The sequence below is a fragment of the Homo sapiens genome, chromosome 10 (assembly GCF_000001405.40).
Source record: "Homo sapiens chromosome 10, GRCh38.p14 Primary Assembly".
Taxonomy (NCBI): domain Eukaryota; kingdom Metazoa; phylum Chordata; class Mammalia; order Primates; family Hominidae; genus Homo; species Homo sapiens.
In genome coordinates this window covers 131,771,843-131,794,329 of record NC_000010.11, presented here as the reverse complement: position 1 = coordinate 131,794,329, position 22,487 = coordinate 131,771,843, and the positions used below count along the sequence as shown (strand labels likewise).

Genomic DNA, 22,487 nt, shown 5'->3' with positions numbered 1-22,487 from the left:
GTGATTTGGAGAGACTGTAATTTGAATTTACTGCATTTTAATTCCTAAAATACCTATTCAGTATTTGGGGCGAGGAGAAAAGAATGTTTTCGGGACACATTTTGCTTTAGGCAAGTGGACTTTCTGTCTTGGTAAAGGCTCCCAAGGAGTGTGGGGAGGAAACCTCTAGATGCACCCAGGTGCTCAGCAGCCCCAACTCATGCAACTACTGTGCCTTCTCTTTGCTGTTTCCTGAGCTCGGTCACCCCTTCCTACAGGAAAAAAATGTGACAGAGTGGTCAGCCTTCAGGCCTGGACACAGACCTGGCCCCCAACCCAGGGCTTCCAGAAGGCGAATGGGCATCTTCAAATGCTTTTTGAGGTTTCAACAAGAGTCATGGGAATGATTCCTTTCCACCACGGAAGTCAGAGGCCATGGTGTTTTCAATGAAGTTTGTCTGGAAAAAAAGGTGGAAAAGGGTCCTTGCGGTAGAAGCTTTGGAGTCTCACGTGCCTTTACCTCTATCTCTGTTCATAGTGATGCCGTCCGAACACCATCTAACGGCAATCTTCAGACGGTGAGGTTAAGATGATAAAGGCAATCGTCAGATGGTGAGGTTAAGATGAAGATGTTTCCTTGCTATGGTTCTGCCCAAGGGACAAGATGAATTTTATCCTCTGAGTTCTTGCCCCATCTGGTCCAGGATGTCCAACTGGACTAAACTAACAAAATCAAACCCGGCATCTGGCCAGAATCAGCCTTGAGTGAATGACCTTGTCCAGTGATGATGCCCTGGGTGGGGAGCAGCTCTCGAAACATGCACCAGAGCAGGGCGCGGTGGCTCAAGCCTGTAATCCCAGCACTTTGGGAGGCCGAGGCAGGTGGATCACCTGAGGTTGGGAGTTCGAGACCAGACTGACCAACATGGAGAGACCCCGAGTCTGCTAAAGATACAAAATTGGCCAGGTGTGGTGGCACACGCCTGTAATCCCAGCTACTCAGGAGGCCGAGGCAGGTGAATCACTTGGGCCCGGGAGGTGGAGGTTGCGGTGAGCTGAGATTGGGCCACTGCACTCCAGCCTGGGCAACAAGAGTGAAACTCCTTCTTAAAAAAAACAAAAACAAAAACAAAAAACAAAACCATTCACCAGCTTGTCCTGTTATCACCACTTCCCAAGCCTCCTCTGATCCAACAGACCACGTTGGGTCCCTTCTCATGCTGCCCTGCACCTGCGCACACCTTCATCTGCTGCATGCTTTCAAGTAGAGAGTGCTTTGGTGATGTGGCTGGCAGCCCCGCTAGCTTAGGTGTCCCTGAGGTGATGTGGTCAGCAGCCCCGCTAGCTTAGGTGTCCCTGGGGCAGGGGCCGAGTCTTGCTCATCACTGACCCCAGTACCAAACCCCGCTTGCTCAAGGAGGAGTGCTGGGCGTCATGGCCAGAGGGCTGCAGGCCTGCCCAGCTGCCCCTTATCACAGTCTCTGGGCTCCTGGCTTCTTTGGGAATTTCTGTTTTGGTTTTCAAAGTGTATCCCTTGTTGCTGACAGTTGGTTATTTTTTAAAGGCACAGACATGGCAAGAGTCAAAAGTCCTCCAGGCTGAGAGTGAACACATATTGTGAGGGTGAGCATGCTGGCTTCAGCACATCCAAATGGGGTCCCTCAGGGTGTCCCCCGTCATTTGTGCCCAGCAACTTCCACATGTCTCCCAGGTTCTCCTCGTGTCCTACCCCTCTTAGGTCCTGGACGCCGACCTGCGGGGCTACATCTGTGAGTCTCCTTCCCCTCTGGCTTCTGCTGGGTTTGGCCAAAGGGACCTGGGCAGGGGTGTGGAGAAAGAGAATGGAGAGTGGTCAGAACCTTTATTTTCTGCTCCCTCCCCCGGGGCAGCCTGGAGCTGGCTGCGCCCCTCCCCTGAGGGCTTGGTTCCTGTTGGGCGGTCCTCTGCTCTGGGGCTCACCACAGGACTCCCCAGTTTCCTGTCCCCAGTGGTGGTGACAGAGCCTTGCTGTGATTCCCAGGTGTGGCCTCCCTGACCATCCCCACACCTCTGTACTGACCCCCTTTTGGGACCTTCTGTGAGTTGCCCAATTCAATTGAGTGTCCTGTCCTCTATGCAGGCTGGGATGGAGTTGAGAAAGACCTGTTCGACCCTCATTCAAATCCTGCTTGCTGACATGTCCTCCGCTCTTTGGTGCTGTGGCCAGCCAGGACCAGCTCCCCTCACCCTGTCCCTGCACCCACTGCTACCCAGACGCTTTTCCTGCTGTGGCCACGGAATCTGAATGGCCGGGGTCCTGCCAGCTACATATTAGGGTGGGCTTCCTTGTGTTTGTCTGGGAGCAGTGTGCAGATGTGGATTATCAAAAACCACGTTCTACCAGCAGATCTGGGCTTCAAAGAGCACCTTCTATTGTGTAAATGGAATTGAAAAAGCTCATCATGGAAAACGAGAAGCATTTTCAGCTCCTAAATTAGAGAATTTATGGTGATAAATCAAGAGTGTCTGCTCTAATAATCACAGGAAAAAACATGATAATATGATTTAATCTTAAAATATTTCTAACATAATATTAGAAAAATTATATTTCAGCTAATGTCTGGTTAGCCTGTTGTGAATGTATGCAAATATCTCAGGAAATATTAATATATACTGCCAGCTTTAGCTAATTAAAGAAATAGTTTTAGGAGTAACGGCCTCCTGATAATTTAATCACCGTTCAGTCTTTGCAGATAATTATGGTATTTGTTATTAAGTTCTCTCTGATTTTCCGAGGAATGAGAAATCTGATATAATCTTTTACTATGTGAGCCAAAAATTAAATTTTATTTCATTGTGAAAATTGTTGTGATCTGAAGATTTTAGAGCCAAGCTCCAGAAACGCTTCTCTCTTCTAGAACTGCCCAGTGTTGTGTTTTACAGGACTTGAACCCTGGGTTGCTGAGGAAGTGAACAGCTCTATGGCCAATAAAAGGCAATTAGGCTGAGATAAATTGTTGTGGAACAAATGATCTCATAAGAAGGTTTCCTTATGCTTACGCCTTATGAATAATCTTCTTACAAAGACTTTTTGAGGTATAATTTTAAAAATGATACTAATCATAGCATTTTAAAAAATAAAAAAGTGAAATGACCCAAAGTGTTTAATGATAATAAGATGGCCCAATAAATAACCTGCACTGATGTAATCCACATTAAAGGCAATATGATTCAGTCTTTAAAATTAAATTTTCAAAGAGTTCTTAAGACTGTTGTAGTTATAACTTTAAGTGAAAAAAAAGAGAAAATTATTTAAGTCGGCATGACCAAAAAAATCCATAGAAAAAAACGGAAAGGAAATATATAAAAAATGTTAAGTAGGTCCCCCAGAGTGGTGAAATTATACAGGTTGAGCATCTTGAATCTAAAAATCTGAAATCTGAAATGCTCCAAAATCTGAAACTTTCTGAGTGCTGACATGATGCTCAAAGGAAATGCTCACTGGAGCATTTTAGATTTTAGACTTTTGGATTCAAAATGCTCAACCATTAAGTGTAATGTAAATATTCCAAAATCCAAAACTCAAAACCTTTCTGGTCCCAACCATTTTGAATAAGAGATAACCTGTAGGATATTTTCATTTTCTTATTTTCTACTTCTATTTATTCTCCACATTATGTACCTGGCACATAGAAGATGTTTAATAACTAAGTATTGCTGAGTGAATAGTCAGGATAAGAACTCATTACTTTTTAGTCCATTTTTGGGAACTTAGGTTACAAAGTCTGCAGGGCCAGTGTTGTGGAAGTCACTGCTCTCTCCGACTCTTGGCAGGAAAAAGAGAAGTAGACTGCCTGTCTGCCAATGATGGCAGTCCCTGTGGGATACAAGGATGAGTGTGCCTGGTGCCCTCTCTACTGGAGCTCCAGTCCAGAGCTGGTGATGTGTCGGTGGACAAAGGACCGTGATAAAAGAAAGAATGGAGCAAGGACAGTCATCAAGTTCTCAGGGTGATTTGCTCACTGAACATCCCTGCTCCTCTGAAGCAGGCAAAGCAAGGGGACTTGCCTTGGCCAATGAAATTCAAGTACAAGTGTCATGTGGCAGTAGGGCCATGTGACTTGCCTTGGCCAATGAAATGTGAGCAGAAGTGTCATGGGGCTCTGCTGGGCAGAAGCTAAGAGCCAGCACTTGTTCACCATGTGCTCATTTCCTGTCTCTATGACAGGCTGCCGTGCTCCAGTTTGCGAATGCCCATCCACCTGTGAAGGGCTGAGCCAAGCCCTGGGCACGTGGTGAGTGACAGGCAGATCTTTGTGGAGGGAAGCCTCTGTGATTGCAGGACATTTGTTACTCGGTATAACCCAGCCTGTTCTAACTGACAGTGAACACAGCTCTGATTTACAGATAACACTGTGCTAACAAATCTATCATGTGCGTCTTACATCCTTGAATGTCATTGTAGGTTGGGGGTTGGGGTCTGAGTTCTGGTCCATTTTCCCCAGGCTTCATCTCCTGTGTCAATTCAGGCAAGAGGAAGAGAGAGGAGGAAGCTTCTAGATCCAAGCCAGAGGAGGTGGATGCAGCATCTGCCGCCCACAGCTTTGGGGCCTGGCCCAGCCTCCACCTGGCCGAGACACCCAACCCCGACCCCACCCACATGGGCGTGCAGAAGAGCCTGAGATGGTGCACACTGACCCATGGCAGAGTTACAGGTGACATTTCTTTTGTTTCTACATCCTAAATCTTTCTACAGTAGATGAACGTTTTGTAAGAGGACTTTTGCTGCCAGTTAGAAATGCATATTGCTGATGCACCCTCTGCAAGACCTTCTGAATCCAACGCCCTGGCGCAGTGGTCCTCAACCTTTTTGGCACCAGGGACACGTTTTGTGGAAGACAATTTCTCCACAGACTGGGGGTGGGGATGGTTTGGGGATGAAACTGTTCCATCTCAGATCATCAGGTATTAGATTCTCATAAGCAGTGGGCAACCGAGATCCCTCAAAAGCACGGTTCACAATAGGGATTGTGCTCCTATGAGAATCTAATGCCGCTGCTGATCTGACAGGAGGGTGAGCTTGGGTAGCAGTGCTCCTCAGCCTGCTGCTCACCTGCTGTGTGGCCTGGCTCCTAACAGGCCACAGACTGGTACTGGTTCATGGCTGGGAGTTGGGGACCCCTACCCTGCTGGATGGGGAGTCTCTAAGGTGTCATGGATGCCAGTGCAAAGCCTGTCTCCCCTGTGCCTCCCCTGTACCTCCCCCGCACCTCCCTGCACCTCTCTCTAGCCCTATTCCAGTGCCCTTCTTGGTGATGATGAGGCAGCTGAGGCCAGGGGCTTATTACTTCCCCAATTGCCACTGGCAATGGGGTTCCTCTGTGTGCTGGATTGGCGAGGGGACTAGCCCCCAAATTCTATCCTGAAGGTCTGCTATCTAGAGCTTTCAGGTGTGGTATCAGTGGTCTTAGATGGAGCTTCTCCAGCAGAGCTAGGGACAAAGGCTTGAGTTCAGGCTGTTTCTTTGGGCAGGGGTCTCAGGGCTCAGGCGAGCAGGAGTGAGTTGAGCGAGGGAGGGAAGGAGTGAATGGGAATACCAGATGGCTTATCCAATCGACAGCCGCTTGGAGTGGCTGATGCTGGGCTTTTTGAGACCTTCTGAGGCCCTTTATGAAATGCATCTCAGCACAGTCTCCTTGGGACAGTAAAGGAAAGAGAACTTATTATCTGCTTCTGTCCTGGCCGTGGAGGCCCTGTCTTTGGAGACTTGCATAACTGTGATTGCTGAGCAGCCTCCTGCAGGTGACCCCGGGGCCAAGGCAGGAAGTAAGAGGTGAGCAGATCTCCGAGCCCAGGTGGTGTCAGGTGACACCTATGCAAAGTGGATCAGAGCCTGGGAGGTACTGGGTGAAGTGCGAGGTGAGGCTGGGAGGGTTTTCATGTGGGGTATAAAAGGTATCCCATAGAATTACCTTACATAATGAGGTTTTGCACACGAGATGGGGCATACTCCTCCCTGTTCTGCACCCTGGATAATCCCTGGAGTGTGAGGGAAGGGAACATTTTATAGAATAGGACTGGTGGGAAGGTTCACTGTAGGGGACAATCAAGGAGAAAGAATAAAAGATTTTGCAAAACACCAAGCTGAAGTTTAGCTTCACTCTGTGGCTTTGGCGACCTGACCCCAGAGCACGTGCTGGTCCTGTGAACTTTGATGCTGCTGAGCTTTCCCCCATGCAGTTCCCTGCTTTGAATATGTGTCTTTCACATTGGGGTTGGGGTTACCCATCTCTTTCCTTAGCTGAAATGGCAACTTTTTCTCCCTGCCACCCCTCAAATCAGATAGAAGAAATTGCTTCTTCCTCTTGCTCCCGTAGTGCCTTTGGACGAACACTTGTCATATCAGATTATAATTCTTATATATGTGTATATATGTCTGCTCATTTTCCTTGCCAGGCTGTGGGTCTTTTGAAGGCAGAAATTGTGTCTTAATTTTCTGAGCATTCAGCACCCGGCCCAGTGACCAGTCCAGCCATGTGATAAATAACTATTGCATGGAATTAAATTATCTTGTACAATAATTATATATAAATATGTTTTATATGAATAAGTACAAAAATATATAAATGTTTATGTTTTATATACACATATATAAAACACGTATATCTCCTATATATTTACCTTTACATATCATAACAACAAAATGGAATCAGGGTGCACTTGGTTTGACTTCTTAGAAAACTCACAGTGGCTCATAGCTACCGGTTCCTTTTCACTGTGATTAGAGCCTTTTAATTTGCAACCATCTCAGTGAGATCGAATTCTAGGTATTTTCTTTAAAGCAAGCATCTTCACTCTGTACTGTGTTCTTTCAAAGTTGCATGTGTAACTTTGTGAATGTGCACGTGTGTTCATTTTCCCAGGGAGATCCTCCCACATTTTATCAGGGTTTCAAAAGCATCTATGACCAGTTAAGAAATGCTGCCTCAAGGCTTGTGCTCGGATTATACTTGTCACATGTAGGATTAACAATGAATAAGTTCACATATTTTACCATTTTCCCCTAAATAGATGAGAAAAATATGTTCATTGCTACCTTTACCAAAACACAGTTGTAGCGTGGACTTCACTTTTTGGAACATGACATGTGACACTGTGACCACCACCAGGTGGCAGCAGATTTTAATCACATACTTGGTTTTTGAAATGGTGAATAAATTAGAATTAAAAAAAAGAGTCAAGTCAATAAATTCGAATCTATATAATGCCGGCGATAGATGTCACTTCAGTCAAAACCCAGTGTGGTTTTTTTTGTTATTGCTGTTTCGTTTTGTTTTTGTTTTTTCCACTGCGTTGGCCAGAGCTTTCAGGTGGCACAGGAAAAGGCGAGCCCAGCTCCAAGGACTGTACGGTGTGCACTGACAACACTGTTACCTTAGTCTCCTTGGCCTGGGAACATAGGTTCCAGAGGTTTGCCTGTGCATAACCAAAGTTCCCAGCCGACAAGCACTTAAACTCAGAACTGCCGGGATCCTCAGAACAGAACAAGTCTCCATGCCTCTTCTTACAGCAGGTCATAACTCAGTGGAACCAGTTCCATTGTGATCAATGACCTAGGACATTCACACTGGTACAGATTTGTGTATTTTCTATTGAAAAAGATAATATTCTTTTGAAAAAAATTCAATGTTATCCTTAAAATGTTGACGCTTATGTCTTAAAGACATGACATTTACGGTGATGTTTCTTAGGCCCATTTTTCCTTGTCAGGTGCATGCACGTACCCATTAGTTCCTGCGCAGGATGATAAATGCAGTAAGAGCTTGATGAAGATTTTATGAATGAATCAGCGCAGAACCCTTCTCCTTGGCCAAGTGGATCTGATACACAACAAAGGACCTGACTTCTTCCATTGAGCACATCTGGGGGAATCAGTTTGTTGAAGCTTCAGTGGGGCTACAGATGCACATAATTCCTTCTTGAGAAAGCTCCTCTTGCTCAGGATTGATCTTAAAAAGCAAGAATTAGGGGAAAAGAGAAGGGAACTAACCTTGCTGAATTTTGGGAAATGGGGATAGCAATGTTAGAAGTGAAGGGTAGGCAAGGGCCTGTCAGCCACCCTGCAGGGGAGCTGGGCGGCCAGAGGAGCCCAGTCCACCCTGAGCAGAGCCGTGGGCTGGGAATGCGGCAGGTGATAGAGGGGAAGGGGCTCGTGGTGGCCTGACTCCTGCCTGGTGTGCAGAAGCAGGGAGCACAGCAGCTCTCCGTCCCCTAGGGCAGCTCCGCAAGGTCAACCGGATGAACTCTGATGCTCACCTTTCTCCTCATTTCTACAGTCGCTGCTTTTGTGTAACGTTGGCTCAGCAGCCCTGTAGGAGTTAGGGGGATTGGCTTTGGAGTAACGCCCGGGCTGGGAGCTGGTTCTGCCATTTATTCTCTGGGTAATGTCTGGCAAGTTGCTTCTCTGCATCTCATTTTTTCCTTCTGTTAAATGGGGATAGCAATGGTGTCTGCCTCATGGACGGTGGTGAGAATTAAACCAGGTAATTGACACAAAAGGCCCAGGGGCACGTCTGGTGCATAGTAGGTGGTCAATGAATAGTAAATAGGGTTTTGAAGTGGCTTATTTCGGTATTCTTTTGAGTAGTAGCCAGTGGAGGCCAGATGGCTTCTGAATTATCACAATTGATTTTCTATATGCTCTTGGGTATAAAGTTTCCACTGAATTCAGTGAGCTGCAAGGTGTCACCGAGAAGAAACAGGCCATGGTGGCATCAGTGGCCTTTTGGGGGATTGGGTCCAGCCCTGGGCCTGGAATATTCTGGGCTCTGGAGGAAGGAGTCAGGAGTGCCGTGGGGAGTGTCTCAGCAGGGCAATGGCAGGGGAAGGGGAAAGTCTATAGAACAGGACTGCTGGGCAGTTTCTGCTGCTGTAGGGGAGAACCAAGGAGAGAGAATAAGAGATTTTGCAAGACACCAAGCTGAAGTTGAGCTGCACTCTGTGGCTTTGGTGACCCCAACTCAGAGTGCTTGTTTTTCCCGGGAAGGTGTGGAGCAGGAAGCAAGGGGCCTCTCGGCTCGGGCCAGGGTGTCTGGTTCCAGGCCGGGGTCGGTATGCACGGAGGCGGTGAGTGTGGGCAAGCCACTCAACCTCGCTGGGTCACAGCTGCTGCATCTGTAAATGGCGGTCACAGCGATGACAACCTCTAGTTGTTGTGAGAAGACACCATTTATGACACTTAGAGCAACGTTGGGCCCAGAGTCAGCCCCGCAAAGGCAGGAGGAATCATCAGTCACATTGACACGGACGTGGAGGGATGGGCCCCTCCACTGCACGTAGGTGAGGGGAGGAGCCAGAGGTGATGACAGGGTGTCCACCTGCACAGGATGGGAGGCCCAGAGGAGAGACTGGCTTCGAGGCGGTGGGGGAGGGGAGCTCCTCTGGTCTGCTGGGGTTGAGATTGGGGACCTCTGGCTGACATGGCAGGATTGACTAGATGTGCTGTGGAAATGGGTCCCACTGAGGAAGTCTACAGTGGCCACATTGTGGCGAGGGCAAGGCTGGGGTCCCGTGGGCGGGGGCACTGTCCACTTCAGCAGTCAGAGACATGTGACCAGTTGCTTCACCAACAACCTCTGACTCTCAGTGGCTCCAGGCACAAGGTCTATTTTATTTCTGAAGATGTCAGGCAAGAGTGGGTGGTCAATACACCGAGATGGGTGCACATCATGGGATGGTGAATTTCATGCTTTAACTTGACTGGGCCGCGCACCCAGACATTTTTTGGGTGTGTCTGTGAGGATGTTTCTGGATGGGACCAGCATTGGAACCTGTAGACTGAGTAGGGCAGATGGTGCTCCCTGGTTAGGGCAGCCCCTGCAATCAGGCGAAGGCTTGAGTAGAACGAAAGGGTGGGTCTCCTGCTTTCCTCCTGTCTAATCGCCTTGAGAGGGGACATTGGTTTTCCCTGCTTTTGGACTAGAACTGAATCATGAACCTTTTTCTGGTTTTGAGCCTGCTGGATTTTGGACTGGAACTTACACTGTTTGGTCTCCTGGGTCTCCAGCTTGCAAATGGCAGAACTGGGACTTGTCAGCCTCCATAACTGTGTGAGCAACTCCTTACAATCAATCTCTCTCTCTCTCTCTCATCAGGAAGTGTGGGAATCCTCAGTCCTTTGTCATCTTGGGAGAAAGAATTTGGCCAAGAGACAGTTTATGGAGTTTATTCTCTTATCCAAGAAGATAATTTATGGAAGGAAAATTGGGAGCAGAGGGTTTATTTAAAGGGACAGTGCACTCTGAAAGATGAGACAGAGGGGGCAGCTGAAGGAGAATGAGCTACAGCCCCTGAGGGTTCTACGCTGGGTTTTTATGACTTTGTATTTTTTCCTGAAGTTCCCACCTCTGTCTTAAGGCTCTGCCTTTTTTGGGAGGGTCTAGTTTTGTCATTCCTGTCTTAAGTCCCCACCTTCTCCTCACCTAGTTCTCACCCTGGGCTTCTGGGACCCTCCTTTACTATCAGGCGGTACCCATGCCAGGCCAGTGTTGGATGCAAATTCTACCTAATGGCTGTGTTGCTCATTACCTCCACTCGGGAAGGTTGTATCATGGCCAGATCTGCACTTACTGCGACTGCTTGTCTCTGAGTTTCTCCTTTGTTTTCTTTCCTCTTTATCAGCACGCAGACAGCTCTGCTCTGACAGGTTGACTGTGGAGGGAGTGATGACTGGGTGTCTCTAAGGGGTGTTCCTTCCTGCATCAGTATATCCCCTCCTCTGCTCATTTCCAGCATGCATGTTTCTGGTGGTCCCTGGGGTGTGAGACTTTTCCAGACCTCCCTTTTCTCAGGGGCTCCCTCTCCTGCTCATGTCTAGCCATCTGCCCATTATTTTATTTTATTTAGTAGAGATGGAGTTTCACCATGTTGGCCAGGGTGGTCTCAAACTTCTGACCTCAAGTGATCTGCCTGTGTTGGCCTCCCAAAGTGCTGAGATTACAGGCATGAGCCACCCCACCTGGCCGCTATCTGCCTATTCTAACAGATCTGTCTCTACCTATTGATTATCTATTATCTATCTGTATTAGTTCGTTCTCATGCTGCTATAAATAACTGCCTGAGACTAGATAATTTATAAAGGAAAGAGGGTTGACTCACACTTCCACATTGCTGGGGAGGCCCCAGGAAACTTACAATCATGGTGGAAAGCAGAGGAGAAGCAGGCACCTCTTCACAGGGCGGCAGGAGAGAGAATAACAACTAGCAGGGGAAATGCCAGGTGCTTATAAAACCATCAGATCTTGTGAGACTCACTCACTATCATGAGAACAGCATTGGGGAAACTGCCCCCGAGATCCAATTCCCTTCACCTGGTCCCACCCTTAACACATGGGGATTATGGGGGTTACAATTCAAGATGAGATTTTGGGTGAGGACCCAGCCAAACCATATCAATATCTCTCTACCTACCTATCTATTGATTATCTATTATCTGTCTACCCACCTATTGATTATCTGTCTATCTAATCTATCCTATTGGTTCTTTCTCTGGAGGACTCAGAGTAACACAGACCCAAAGAAGCAGTGCACATGGTAACCTGTGTTCTCAGTGTCCTCACGGGGTGAGGCTCATGGGGAAGGGCTGCTTTCCTCTCCTGTTCCCCACCCCCAATACAGACAGATCTTCACCATCTAGCACCCCTTTTCCTGATTTAGGGTTCAGGAGGAGGACAAGGAACCAGATTAGAGAAGTGTTGTAGGAAAGTTGGAGGAGAGTTGGGTGGGCACAGTGTCGCTGTAGCCAAGAGGCTTTAGGAGGAAAGAAGGGTGCCAGTATTACCATTTCCTCTAAGAGCTCTGAGGGAAGGCCACTGAGTTTCTTATTTGATGGGAATCCTCCAAGAACCTGATGTTCATAAATACGTATTTCCTTCACACTGGGAAAGTGAATGTGCACACTGGCCATTTAGATTAAACTCAAATTCTCCACAGGAAAAACGACAGCTGTTGTTTCCAGTTCCAGAAATAGCTGCACCACTATCCTGTTATTATAGATGAAAAAGTAAAGCACAAAAAGTGTTGGTTTGGCAAATACAAGAGAAAGATGAATAATGATATTGTCTTGTCCCCCCAAGCAAATACTTCCAAGTCTTCAGAAACAAACAGCACAGCAAAGACTTCCATCACTCACTTCTCTGTGGGATTGAAGTCACCTCTAGAGAGTGAGTTATCCCACTCCTGATGGCTAAGCCCCATCACAACTGGAGGACACCATGGCTTAGGAAGAAGAAGCGGGAACGCTGGGCCCAAGACAGAGTGCCACAGCACAGAATTATGCAGAAATGTCACATCGCTGAGACAGAGGCCATAGCTACTCACACCAACTCACAGCTCCCAGGGCCAGGCCAAGGCCATGGTTCCCAGTGAACTCCAGCACCTGGGCTGGTGCCCAGACACTTGGAGACAAAGCCTTGGACAAGATCAAGCTAGGCAGAGTTTTTTGTCCATGGGTAATTCATTCTTTTTCACTTTAATACAGTGGCCCCTTCCTATATCACCTAAAGCCACGTGTCCACATGAAGAATCCACTCATACCTAAGACCAAAGACAGGCATGTGGCTGGGGACACTCTGGGCAGAAATGTAGCATCTTTTGAAGTCATCCAAACTCTTCAAAGCCATCAGGGGCTGCCAGACCTCTGCCTTGGAATTTGAACATTATAGTTTTCATTTGTTTGTATCTTGAACACTCAACCAAGCCAGCAGCTCCTAGCAGCTGGAGACCTTTTCAGCTCACCTCTGTCTCCAAGAAAGTCTGAATCTCAGGGTTTCTTTGAAAAGGAGTCTGTTGAATGTGTGTGGAAGGGGGGTGGAGCAACAATTCGGCCATGTTAGTCTTGTCTCTATCCAAGGCCACGGTCAAAATGGGCATTCAGGGCGCTTCCGGCCCTGCCTCTTCCCTTCCTTCTGGTGACCACACTCACTGGTAGGCAGCCCTGTCCCCCAGATGCCTGCATCCCTCTGTTGTGCCTGCTACTGAAGGCCCCTGAGCAGGACAGCTGGGATTGCTGGACCCCACCCTCTGAACCCTTCCTAGCCCAGAGGGCCCACGAAGATGTCTGATGCATGATATCTACTCAGTCCAATTCAGTGGCACGATTCTGCCCCTGGGAGACATCGGGCAATGCCTCTGGGTGGTTTTGGCTGTTACTAGTGGGGGGTGCTCCTGCCATGTGGTGGGTGGAGCCAGGGATGCCACTCAACAGTGTAAGGGCAGCTCTCCCAGTGCAGAACAATGCGGCCCAAATGTCAGTAGTTCTGACATTGAGTGATTCCGCTTGGATTTTAACCTGAGCCTGTGGACATCTGGGATCCACTGCTCTGGGCACAGCGTACTCCCCTGGGGAGGACAAAAGTCTTACATGGGATTTGGACTTGGAGACAATTCTCTCTAAAGAAGACAAGGTCAACTGAGATTGGCCGGTCCAGGTCATTACTTCCTGAAGAAGGCTTCTCCTCATCCCCTGGTTGGACAGGGCCAGGATTTAGGTCTCTAGAGAGTGAGTCTTGGGAAGAACTCACCAGTCAGTCCTAGTTTGAGTTCTTCCCAGCGTCTGAGGTAGTGGGTTATGCACAAAAAGAGGCAAGTGGCTCTGATGTTAATGGCGAGGCTGTTTGGACACGAGGATGATTGGTGGGTTAGGTGGAGGCATGAGATTTGTCTGTGAAGTTGCAAGTCCTATAACAAGCTGTTTGGGAAATTGATTTGGTCTCCTCCTGCTGAATTAATTGGCTCCATTTGCTCCTTGGGAAGTTAAAGATGCTGCACTCTGCACACTGAAAGGTGGACTAATTAGCAAGGAATGCACAGGTCTTTGTTCTGTGGACAGTGCCTGGCTCTGAATGGCCACGGATTTGGGGCTGTGGCTGTGAGGCTCAGTGGCAGCAGGGGTGTCTTTGGCCCCAGCTCCACATCTACGGCCTTTCGATTGAGGCTGGAGGAATAAGGTTGCTGGGAGAGGTGTGTGTGAATGGATGTGTATGGTGGGGGACCTGGGGTGACCCCCTCCGGCTTTAGGATTAGTTCAGGGTCCCTCAGCCTTGACCCAGGCGAGATGGGAGAGGACCTGCTAAGGTGACCCACTGTCCCATTTGCCTGGGACTGTCTCCGTTTTTGCACTGTGGGTCTGAAGTCCTGGGAAGCCCCTCAGTGCCTCTGGAACTTGGATGGTTGGTTGGTCACTCCCTGGAGCACAGCTCCCTGCCCCGACCCTCCCACTTAGGGAAGACCGTCTGGGTCCTGTGTGCTGCCTCAGTGGCCAGGCCTCCCTGGACATCCTTGTGGGGAAGGTGTGGCTCCACTGAGGCTGCAGTGGTCACCCAGAGTGTTGTCCTGGTGAGTGAGCTCCGTGCTGTGGGGAGGCCCCTCTACCAGGTAGAACGTGAAGCCCCCACAGAGAACCTCAGTGGATTCAGTCAGAGGGGCAGTCAAGAGCACTTAGGTTGTGCTTCTGAGTGGTCAGCAGAGAGCCCCAGGAGCCCTCTGTGCTGGGGGCAGTGATGGTGACAGTCGTGGAGATGGAGAGGCCTTGGAAGCTGGTGGGGGGCTGGGACGTCACAGGGAGAGCTCAGCTCCAAGAGCAGCTCTGGGGCTGCTGAGGTAGCACCATTTATAACCCCCCAGAATAACAACATCTTCTCATTATTTTAAATAAAAAGTGTATGGTTGCTTGTCAGTACCCGAAGTGTATCTTGTTCTGGGGAGGGAGCGGTTTGGGGAGGAAAGGGAGGCAGTCAATGGAGGGTGAATGCATGTGGGGACCATGAAGATGACAAGGCTGGCCAGGCTTCCCAGGACCCTGCAGGCTAGTGGACATCCAGCCCCTCCAGGCTAATGGAGGAGCAAAGTACTGTCCCCTTTCCACCTCACAGGGACACAGATAATGCCTTCATTCATTCATTCATTCATTCATTCATTCATTCATTCATGCACTCCAGGAATTTGGCTGCCTCTCCTCTATGGCCTAGCAATAGCACATAGGTGTTTGGCATTCTCATCCCAGAGGTTTTGTAGAAATTCCTGGATATTTATAACAGTGATTCTCAGGAGGAGACAAAAATCCAAACCAAACAAAACCAAATAGCAACAGAAAGGCAGCAATCCCTGGGAGAAGATACACTGGTTAGGATTCCTGACCTGGACGACTCTCAGCTCTGGAGGCTCTGTGGTTTCACAGAAGCTTTGCCTTTGTGGGACCCCCGCAGTGCCCTCTTGCCTGCCCTGTTGAAGGGTCAGGTGGTGGAGGACAAGTGGAGCAGAGGTCAGGAGGCCGAAGCTGGACGCCTGGAACTCCCACAGGCCTTGGGCCCTTCCTGCAGGCTGAGCTGCGTGTGCTCTCTGTGGGGTCAGGCAGGGGTAGGGCTGGGGTCAGGTACTCCTTAGGAAGGACTTTGGCATCTCACTCTCCTCCTCACTGCGTTTGGTTTTGTGTCTCAGACCCGAGGCTGAAACACCTGCATTGTTGGCGTGGTTGGGGCAGCCAGTCCCAGAGAAAACTGAGATCTCCAGGGACGACTGTGGATCTGAAACTGAATGCCAGAATTGTCAAGAAGAAATGTCGCTGTGCAGAAACCTCACCAGGGTGCGGGGCAGGCTGGGACTGAGAGGGCAGCTGCTGCTCCCCAGCGGTGATCTGCCCCCTCGTCTGCACTCCACCACCAGCTGCACTGGCCCCCACTGCAGGGCCCCTCTGGTTGTTTAAGATGGAAACCTGTGGAAGGCGACACACGCTCTCCCAAATGCTGCAATCATCACACAGCCCGGGGCCACCAGCCTGGGGACAAGCACGTCTCTCTTGTCTCTCGCAGAGGGCCCCCTGCTGGCAACCAGGAGCCCAGTGGTAACTTAGACAAAAGGAGGAGACCACTGGCTCCACAGGTGGGGTCCTGTGGACTCAGAGATGACTGGGTTGGGGTTCAGAGAGTCAGAAGAGGAACTTGTCTCCCTCCATCTCTCCTCCCTGCCCACCCTGGACTTGCCACTGTGGGCAGCAAAGGTACCTCTTGGAGAAAGGAAGCCCACTGTCTATGGTACCCAACCAAGAAAGTCAGCAAAGTATCTACAACAGCCAGCCCAGGAAGCCAGCACACCATCTATGTTAACCAGCTGAGGAAACCAGCCTGCCATCTGCACTAATCAGCCCAGGAAGCCAGTCCACCATCTACACTAACCAGCCCAGGAAACCAGCCCACCATCTACACTAACCAGCCCAGGTAGCCAGACTGTCTTCTACACTAACTAGCCCAGGAAGTCAGCTCGTCATCTACACTAACCTACTCAGGAAGCCAGTCCACCGTCTACATTAACCACCCCATGAAGCCAGCCTGCCATCTACACTAACCAGCCTAGGAAGCCAGTCTGTCTTCTACATTAAACAGCCCAGGAAGCCAGTCTGTCTTCTACAGTAACCAGCCCAGAAAGCCAGTCTACCACATTAACCAGCCCAGGAAGTCAGTATACCATCTACACTAACCAGCCCAGGAAGCCAATCTACCATCTACACTAACCAGCCCAATGTTAAGGACAATACATTCCTCTTCAAAGACTCCTTGGCCCCCCTTCTGCTTGAACTGTAACAAACCCTTGTTCCTCAGCTTGATCTATAACTAGCAAACCTCTTATTCTATAAACAACCCTTTACCATACCTGGACATGCCCAGACATGCCTTGAACTTGTTTGTAGACAACCCTTCCCACCTTAGCAACAGACAGTCTCTCCTTCTCCTCCTCTCTTAGCAAGCTGCACGTTTACCATATTTAGAAAAGTTAAAGTCTTAGTCATATTTGGAAAAGTTTAAGTCTTAGCCAATCTGGTTAGTTTGGATTGTGTGGTCTGACTCCAGCCAATGGAGAAAGGACACAGAAACAGGAACTGTGTTAGGGATAAAAACCCTTCTCTCCTTTGTTCATTGTACTCTTGCAATCGTGGCTGATGCAGGCAGCATCCTTCTGCAGAAGTAAATTGCCTTGCCGAGAAAACTTTTTGTCTGAGTGCAGGTTCTTCTTTGTGGCACCGAGCATTTGTTTCCAACACCAGGAAGCCAGCCCGCCATCTACACTAACCAACCTAGGAAGCCAGCCTGCTGTCTACAGTGATCAGCCCAGGAGCCTGCCTGCTACGTACCAATCAGTCTGGTAGGAAGTCAGACCAATGTCTCTAACAACCAGTGCAGGAAGCTCAACAGTATCTTCTGTAATAGTAGGCTCAAAATGGCCAGGTCTTGATCAATAACTGACAACTTCCATAGTCTCTGCTTCCAACTTGGGGCCAACTAGAGAAAGCCCCTTGTGTCCCCCTAGCTGGTCAGGTGGAGGCTTGCTTGTTTTCCACTCTCCTATCTTCTGGCCATCAGCCTCCCTCCGTCCATGCCCGAGACCTTCCTGTGTCTCCACTATGAGGCTCTCCCAGTCCTCTGCTGCCCCGAGTCTCCATCAAACCCACTTCTTGCTAGCTGGCTCTGAACAAATAGCATTTGTCTGTTCTCGTTTGGAGGGGAAGTCTTTGTTTGTTTCCAGACTGTCTCTGTCCCTGCCCCCAACCCTCTCCCATCCTGTCTTGGCCTCTCTCAAGTCTCCCCCTGGAGGAGTCTTTGTGCTGGAGTGGCTCTCGTGGAACTGGAGCATGCAAGGTCAGAGGGGGTGCGTATGGCCACGTTCCATACCTGTGAGTCCGGCGGAGGAAGAGCTGTGCTGTGTCACAGGAGAGGCCTAAGAATCAATGAGAAATGCGGTTGCATTGGCAGCTTCTGCAGGGTCTGGCACGAGCGTGGGAGCTGGGGAGTGCATGTGCTTCTGCCGTCATGACACCTCTGCTCAGGTGTGATTCTCCTTCCCTCTCTAAGGGCATAATGTCAGGTATTTGCAATGTTTATGCCTTTGTTTTTGAGACAAATCAATAAATGCAGGGGAAATCCTATCAGCACAGCTCTTGTCATCCGCCTTCAGATAAGGCTGGCGTGTGTTCCTGGTTATTTTTAGTCTCCTACATATCCGTCTATGATTGCTTTTTGCATTATAGTTATGGAACAATCCGAATGACTGAATCACAGCACCACAGTAATGATTCTGCAACACTGAACTTGACTGTCCCAAGGAAATCACAACTGCCATCTCAAGAAAGCCTGTCTGCAGCAACCATTCCATGGTCCTCAAAGTCGTGGCCACCGGAGAGGCTGGTTTCAATTCGCCCCCAACTCCGGCTGGAGAGAGTTGAGGAGGAAGGCAGCGGCCTGGGCTGAGTGGGAAATGCCTGCACTGGAGGGTTGGTGGCCCCCATGCTGGATGGAGGCAGGAACGGGAGGCTCCTGGAATTGTCCTCTCTTCTGCCAGAGAGGGGAGGCGGGCCGTCACTGTGCAGAAGCCCAGCCAGCACCGAGAAGGAAGTGGGTGCCTGTGGGACCCTCGCCTCTCTGCGGAGGGGCCTGTGGAAATGCAGCCTGTGCCCTGGGCCAGCCCTGCTCCTAGGAGGGTCCTGCTGCCTCATTTGCTCTCTCTCCCTCCTTCTCCTCTCCACTCCCACCTTTTTTTCTAGGAACTTTGAACCCTCGTTTTCACCCAGTCCCATCGAGAAGCCAAGTGCTCCCTCCTCAGGCCAGAGCTCCCAGCTGCAGACACAGGTTCAGCCCCCAGCTGAGCGAGGAGCGGCTTCCATGCCGGGGCCTGCCTCTCTGCCGCTCTCCACCGGTCCTTCGCAGCCGCTCCGATGCTCTCCACGGGTCCTTTGCAGCCGCGTCCTGGCCCTGAGGCGGTGACACAGAAGCCCACGTCCGTTTCCTTTCTGCTTGCCTGTTTGTAGGTGGGACCAGGCTTCCTGTCTGCCCATCCCCAGAAGGCAAAGCCTTTAGGTCCCCCCTCTGCTGACTCAGGCACAAAAGGGTTTTTTCTTTCTTAGTTTTGGAATCTGAGTGGAAGGGCACATGCTGTGGATCATATTCTCCTTCTAGTCTCTCGGTTGCTCACGTGGGAGTAAGTAGGAGCTGTGGGACCTTGTCCTTAAGCCATTAAAGATGTGGTGAGTTTTATTGAGCCTGCTGCCCACCCTGTGATATCTTTTGCTGGTTTGCTTCTCCACAAGCAGATTCCAGACAAGGATCAGTGTCTGTGGGGTGGTCTCAGGAACACCTTGTTGGGAGTGGGGGTGAAACAGAAGAGGCAAGAATCCCAGGCTGGGAGCAGGCCCTGCACGGGCCACTGAGCTCAGCCCACTGGGGCGTTGGGGAGTGGGTGTGCTTCTGCCTTCATGACACCTGGGGCCTCGGGGTCTGGAGCGAGCTCAGGGAGGCCCCACAGAGTGTGGGGGCTGCAGGCTGGTCTTTTCTTCGCTGACCGCTGAGGCTGGGGCCTCGTCCTGCTTCTGTGCTGTGCTTTGCGTTGCCAGAGAGAACCCCAGCGGGAGTGATTCAGGAGGCGGGCGCTGCCACGTCCTGACTGGTGAGCTCTTGAGGCTGGGGAGACACTGGGGGTTTGCTCTGATTCTTTCAGTTCACTGCAGCGGGTTCTCGGTGGGGTGTGTTGTGGGAGGAGACTTGCTTTGCTGCCACAGCTATTTTAAATCCAGTGGAGCGGCAGAAGCCTGGTGATCTTCTCGTCACCGAGGTGGAAAATAGACCGGACTGCGAATGGCTTTTGGAGCCTCCCATGTGTCTGACCCCGGTTTAACTTTGCTTCTCGTCCCAACCCATGGTGTTGGGGGCAGGGGGCAGGGAGGGAATCAATAGCTAAAACCATAACTCCTCCAGGCCGACTTCCGCAGGGACAGAACGAGCCACTGAGAGCGCACCAAGAGAGAATTACACGGCAATATTTTTTTCAAGGAAAGTTATTAAAATATTGACATTTCATCTGTACAGCTTATCCCTCAGACATCCTCAGAACAGTCCCCAGACAGGGCTAATTTAATTACGCTCCACCCCAAATGTGCCCCGTGCCCTGTGACAGTCAGATTCTTCCAGAAGCACCAGACACAGATGTATCCAGTTCTGGAGGCGTTCCTGAAATTTATCTCAAACTTCCAATAGGCTTAAAAAAATTCTCTTTCCTAAAAAAATGAAGTTGAATGTTGATGTTTTTACAGTGCTGGGAATCACGCATGTATATCTCCTCCCTCAGCAGAGAACCTCCTGGAGAAACAGAAGCCATGGGTCCTGATGCCCGAGCCGGCGACGACTCTGAGCACACTGTGAGCAGAGAACCTCCTGGAGAAACAGAGGCCATGGGTCCTGACGCCTGAGCCAGCAACTTACTCTGAGCACACTGTGAAGGGCGGCTGTGAATTTTTCTTCTTTCTCAAACAACGATGCAATCATTGGGATCACTTGTCCTCCTGGGATGGGTTTGTGTGAGACTGATGTCTTCCGAAAAACACAGCCCCAAGGGAGTCGAGACGATGTACCAGGTAGAATAAGGCACAGGGGAGCCGCTTGACAAATCAGACGACGGCAGCCGGCCTGCCTGCCCGGTATGTGGCCAAATATGGGCGAGGCCAAGGTTGGGGTGTGAAAGTGCGTGACGTTTACACCCACGTGGGCGTCTGTGCACGTGCGTGTGTGCGTGTGAGCTGCCTGTGGGCATCTGCAGAAGCAGACATTCTTCATGGCTAAACAAAAACCTCACGTTTTGGGTTCCAGGGTGATGCCAGCGAGTTGTGTTTCTGAGAGACGAAGGAAGCCTTCCTTCCAGGTTTCCACGTGGAGCAGTGCCTCTCTGCGTGGTTCCTGGCAGCAGGGGATGCCAGGCTGCAGTGGCAGAATGTTGAGCTGCATGGCCGGCTTCCACTCATGCGAAGCCAGCAGCAACCCCCTCCTCAGGGGTGACAACCAGAGTGTCCTCCAGACACTGCCAGATGTCCCCTGGGGGGAACTGTCTTTGGCTGAGAATCACTGCTTTAGACGGATGATGATCGTTTAAATGGACAGTGCTGTTCCTGGCTCCAAGCAGTCAGTTCCCTCCCTCCCTGTTTACTTACAAAACAGCCGCATCCCCGGGATTACGAGTGAGCCAGCGGAGGTGTGACCAAAGAGATGTCACAGTTCGCTTTTCTTTGTGATCAATACGTGGAATGATTTAGGGGCCTGTGTTAAAATTACAAATCTTCTATAGAAGATTTTGGCAGCAAAATATTTTAAAAGCCTACGAAATAAACAGAGATGGCACATTCAGAGGCTCCAAATCACAGAGCAAGGAACTGCATCCACAGTAGCTTTTGCCTTCCTCCTCTGCCGCTGTTTTGACTCATTGATCTTTGGGTCTGGTGGATTTTTTGTGTTGGGGAGAGAAGAGGGAAGAGGCAGGAGGGCCATTCTCATGGCAAGCTGAGGTCTCAGGGGCCGGGCTGGGAGTTAGGGGGCGCTGGGGTCCCACCCAGGTGGCAGGGCCAGGCAGGTCATGGCACCTGCTATGGTCGTGCTGAAGTCCTGGAGGCAACAACCATTGTTACTTCTAAACGATACCAAGAGGGAAAGAACACATCCCTTCAACTTTTCCTTAAGGAGATCTGTAAGGCAGGTTGGAAGAATTTGAAGTCCTTCTGCCTTCGCATGAACAAAAATGTGAAGGGGGTTTTTAAAACTCAGATTTGATCTTTACAGTAACCAGATGGATTTTATTTCAACATGCCAGAGTTTCCACATCACGTCACCACTGCACTTCAACGTGCTGTTCTTGAGGCTGTTTAAAGTTCAGCCTTGGCACCTGACATGGCGCATCTGTTTTAACTCCAGGCGTGGGGGCTCCTGGGGAAACGACGACTTCTGATGCCTGACCACCCCCAGGCTGACGCCCTCCCTCCTGCCCAGGGCTGAGGCTGGACCCAGGGCACCTCCTTCGAATGGCCTCTCTCTTCCTCCCTAACACAGAGCAATCAACAGCTGTATAAAATAATTGCCCTAAAATCACAAATTAAAAGAAAATCAGCAGCCAAAGTTCCTTCCTGATGTTTTTCAAGTCTAGGTTTCGTGAGTGAGTCTTCTACTGAGGGAGCCGGTTGGGGTTTCAAAGGCCTTTGGCTTTGTGGAAAACGGCTTTGTGGTGTCCAGAGCTGTGTGGGTGCCTCTGGCAAGTGCCTGCACCACGGAGGCCCTGAGTAAGCCCGCTCAGCCCTGTGCCCTCCACACCTGGCGCTCAGACCCAGCCTCCTTCACTCAGGCCTGGGGGCTGGCCAGACTCAGGCAGGTGGCCTGGCCTCCTCTCAGCCCCTTTCTCACCCACCCACTGCTGTTCTGATGGCTAGTGCAGCCTTTGCACAGTGGGGGACCTTTGTGAGGGCCTGGATAGAGGCAGGTGGGTTCATCTGTGGCCTCCCTGTCCTGAGGGGCCAGGCTCTGTGCCCCCAGCTGCACCTTCCCCAAGGCCACCATCCCACCTCTTGCTGTCCTTCCTTCTGTGTCCGTCTGGCCCCGCAGGTTCCTGCTGGGCACCATTTCCAGCCCGTGGGGTGAGCACTGAGGAGGCAGCAGGACGCTGAGCTGGCTGCC

The 22,487-nt window shown here is 50.2% G+C and overlaps 1 long non-coding RNA gene across 1 annotated transcript, besides 3 other annotated features; it reads left to right on the top strand.

Annotated features, from left to right (window-relative positions):
- Positions 1-4,130: 4,130 nt before the first annotated feature.
- Positions 4,131-21,932, top strand: LINC01164 (long intergenic non-protein coding RNA 1164). Its single transcript, NR_038365.1, has 5 exons — positions 4,131-4,253; positions 4,464-4,673; positions 18,035-19,446; positions 20,125-20,473; positions 20,643-21,932. It is a non-coding gene; the product is annotated as a long intergenic non-protein coding RNA 1164 (long non-coding RNA).
- Positions 15,825-17,024: an enhancer, noted in NCBI's record as "MED14-independent group 3 enhancer chr10:133609642-133610841 (GRCh37/hg19 assembly coordinates)". NCBI's record gives its function as "activates an origin of replication core promoter dependent on BRD2, BRD4, P300/CBP and CDK7 cofactors, and independent of MED14, by STARR-seq in HCT116 cells {active_cell/tissue: HCT116}" and the evidence as "EXISTENCE:reporter gene assay evidence [ECO:0000049][PMID:35650434]".
- Positions 20,087-20,587: an enhancer, noted in NCBI's record as "H3K4me1 hESC enhancer chr10:133606079-133606579 (GRCh37/hg19 assembly coordinates)". NCBI's record gives its function as "activates a minimal SCP1, AML or CMV promoter by ChIP-STARR-seq in naive H9 embryonic stem cells {active_cell/tissue: H9 hESC(naive)}" and the evidence as "EXISTENCE:reporter gene assay evidence [ECO:0000049][PMID:30033119]".
- Positions 20,588-21,088: an enhancer, noted in NCBI's record as "H3K4me1 hESC enhancer chr10:133605578-133606078 (GRCh37/hg19 assembly coordinates)". NCBI's record gives its function as "activates a minimal SCP1, AML or CMV promoter by ChIP-STARR-seq in naive H9 embryonic stem cells {active_cell/tissue: H9 hESC(naive)}" and the evidence as "EXISTENCE:reporter gene assay evidence [ECO:0000049][PMID:30033119]".
- Positions 21,933-22,487: the final 555 nt, after the last annotated feature.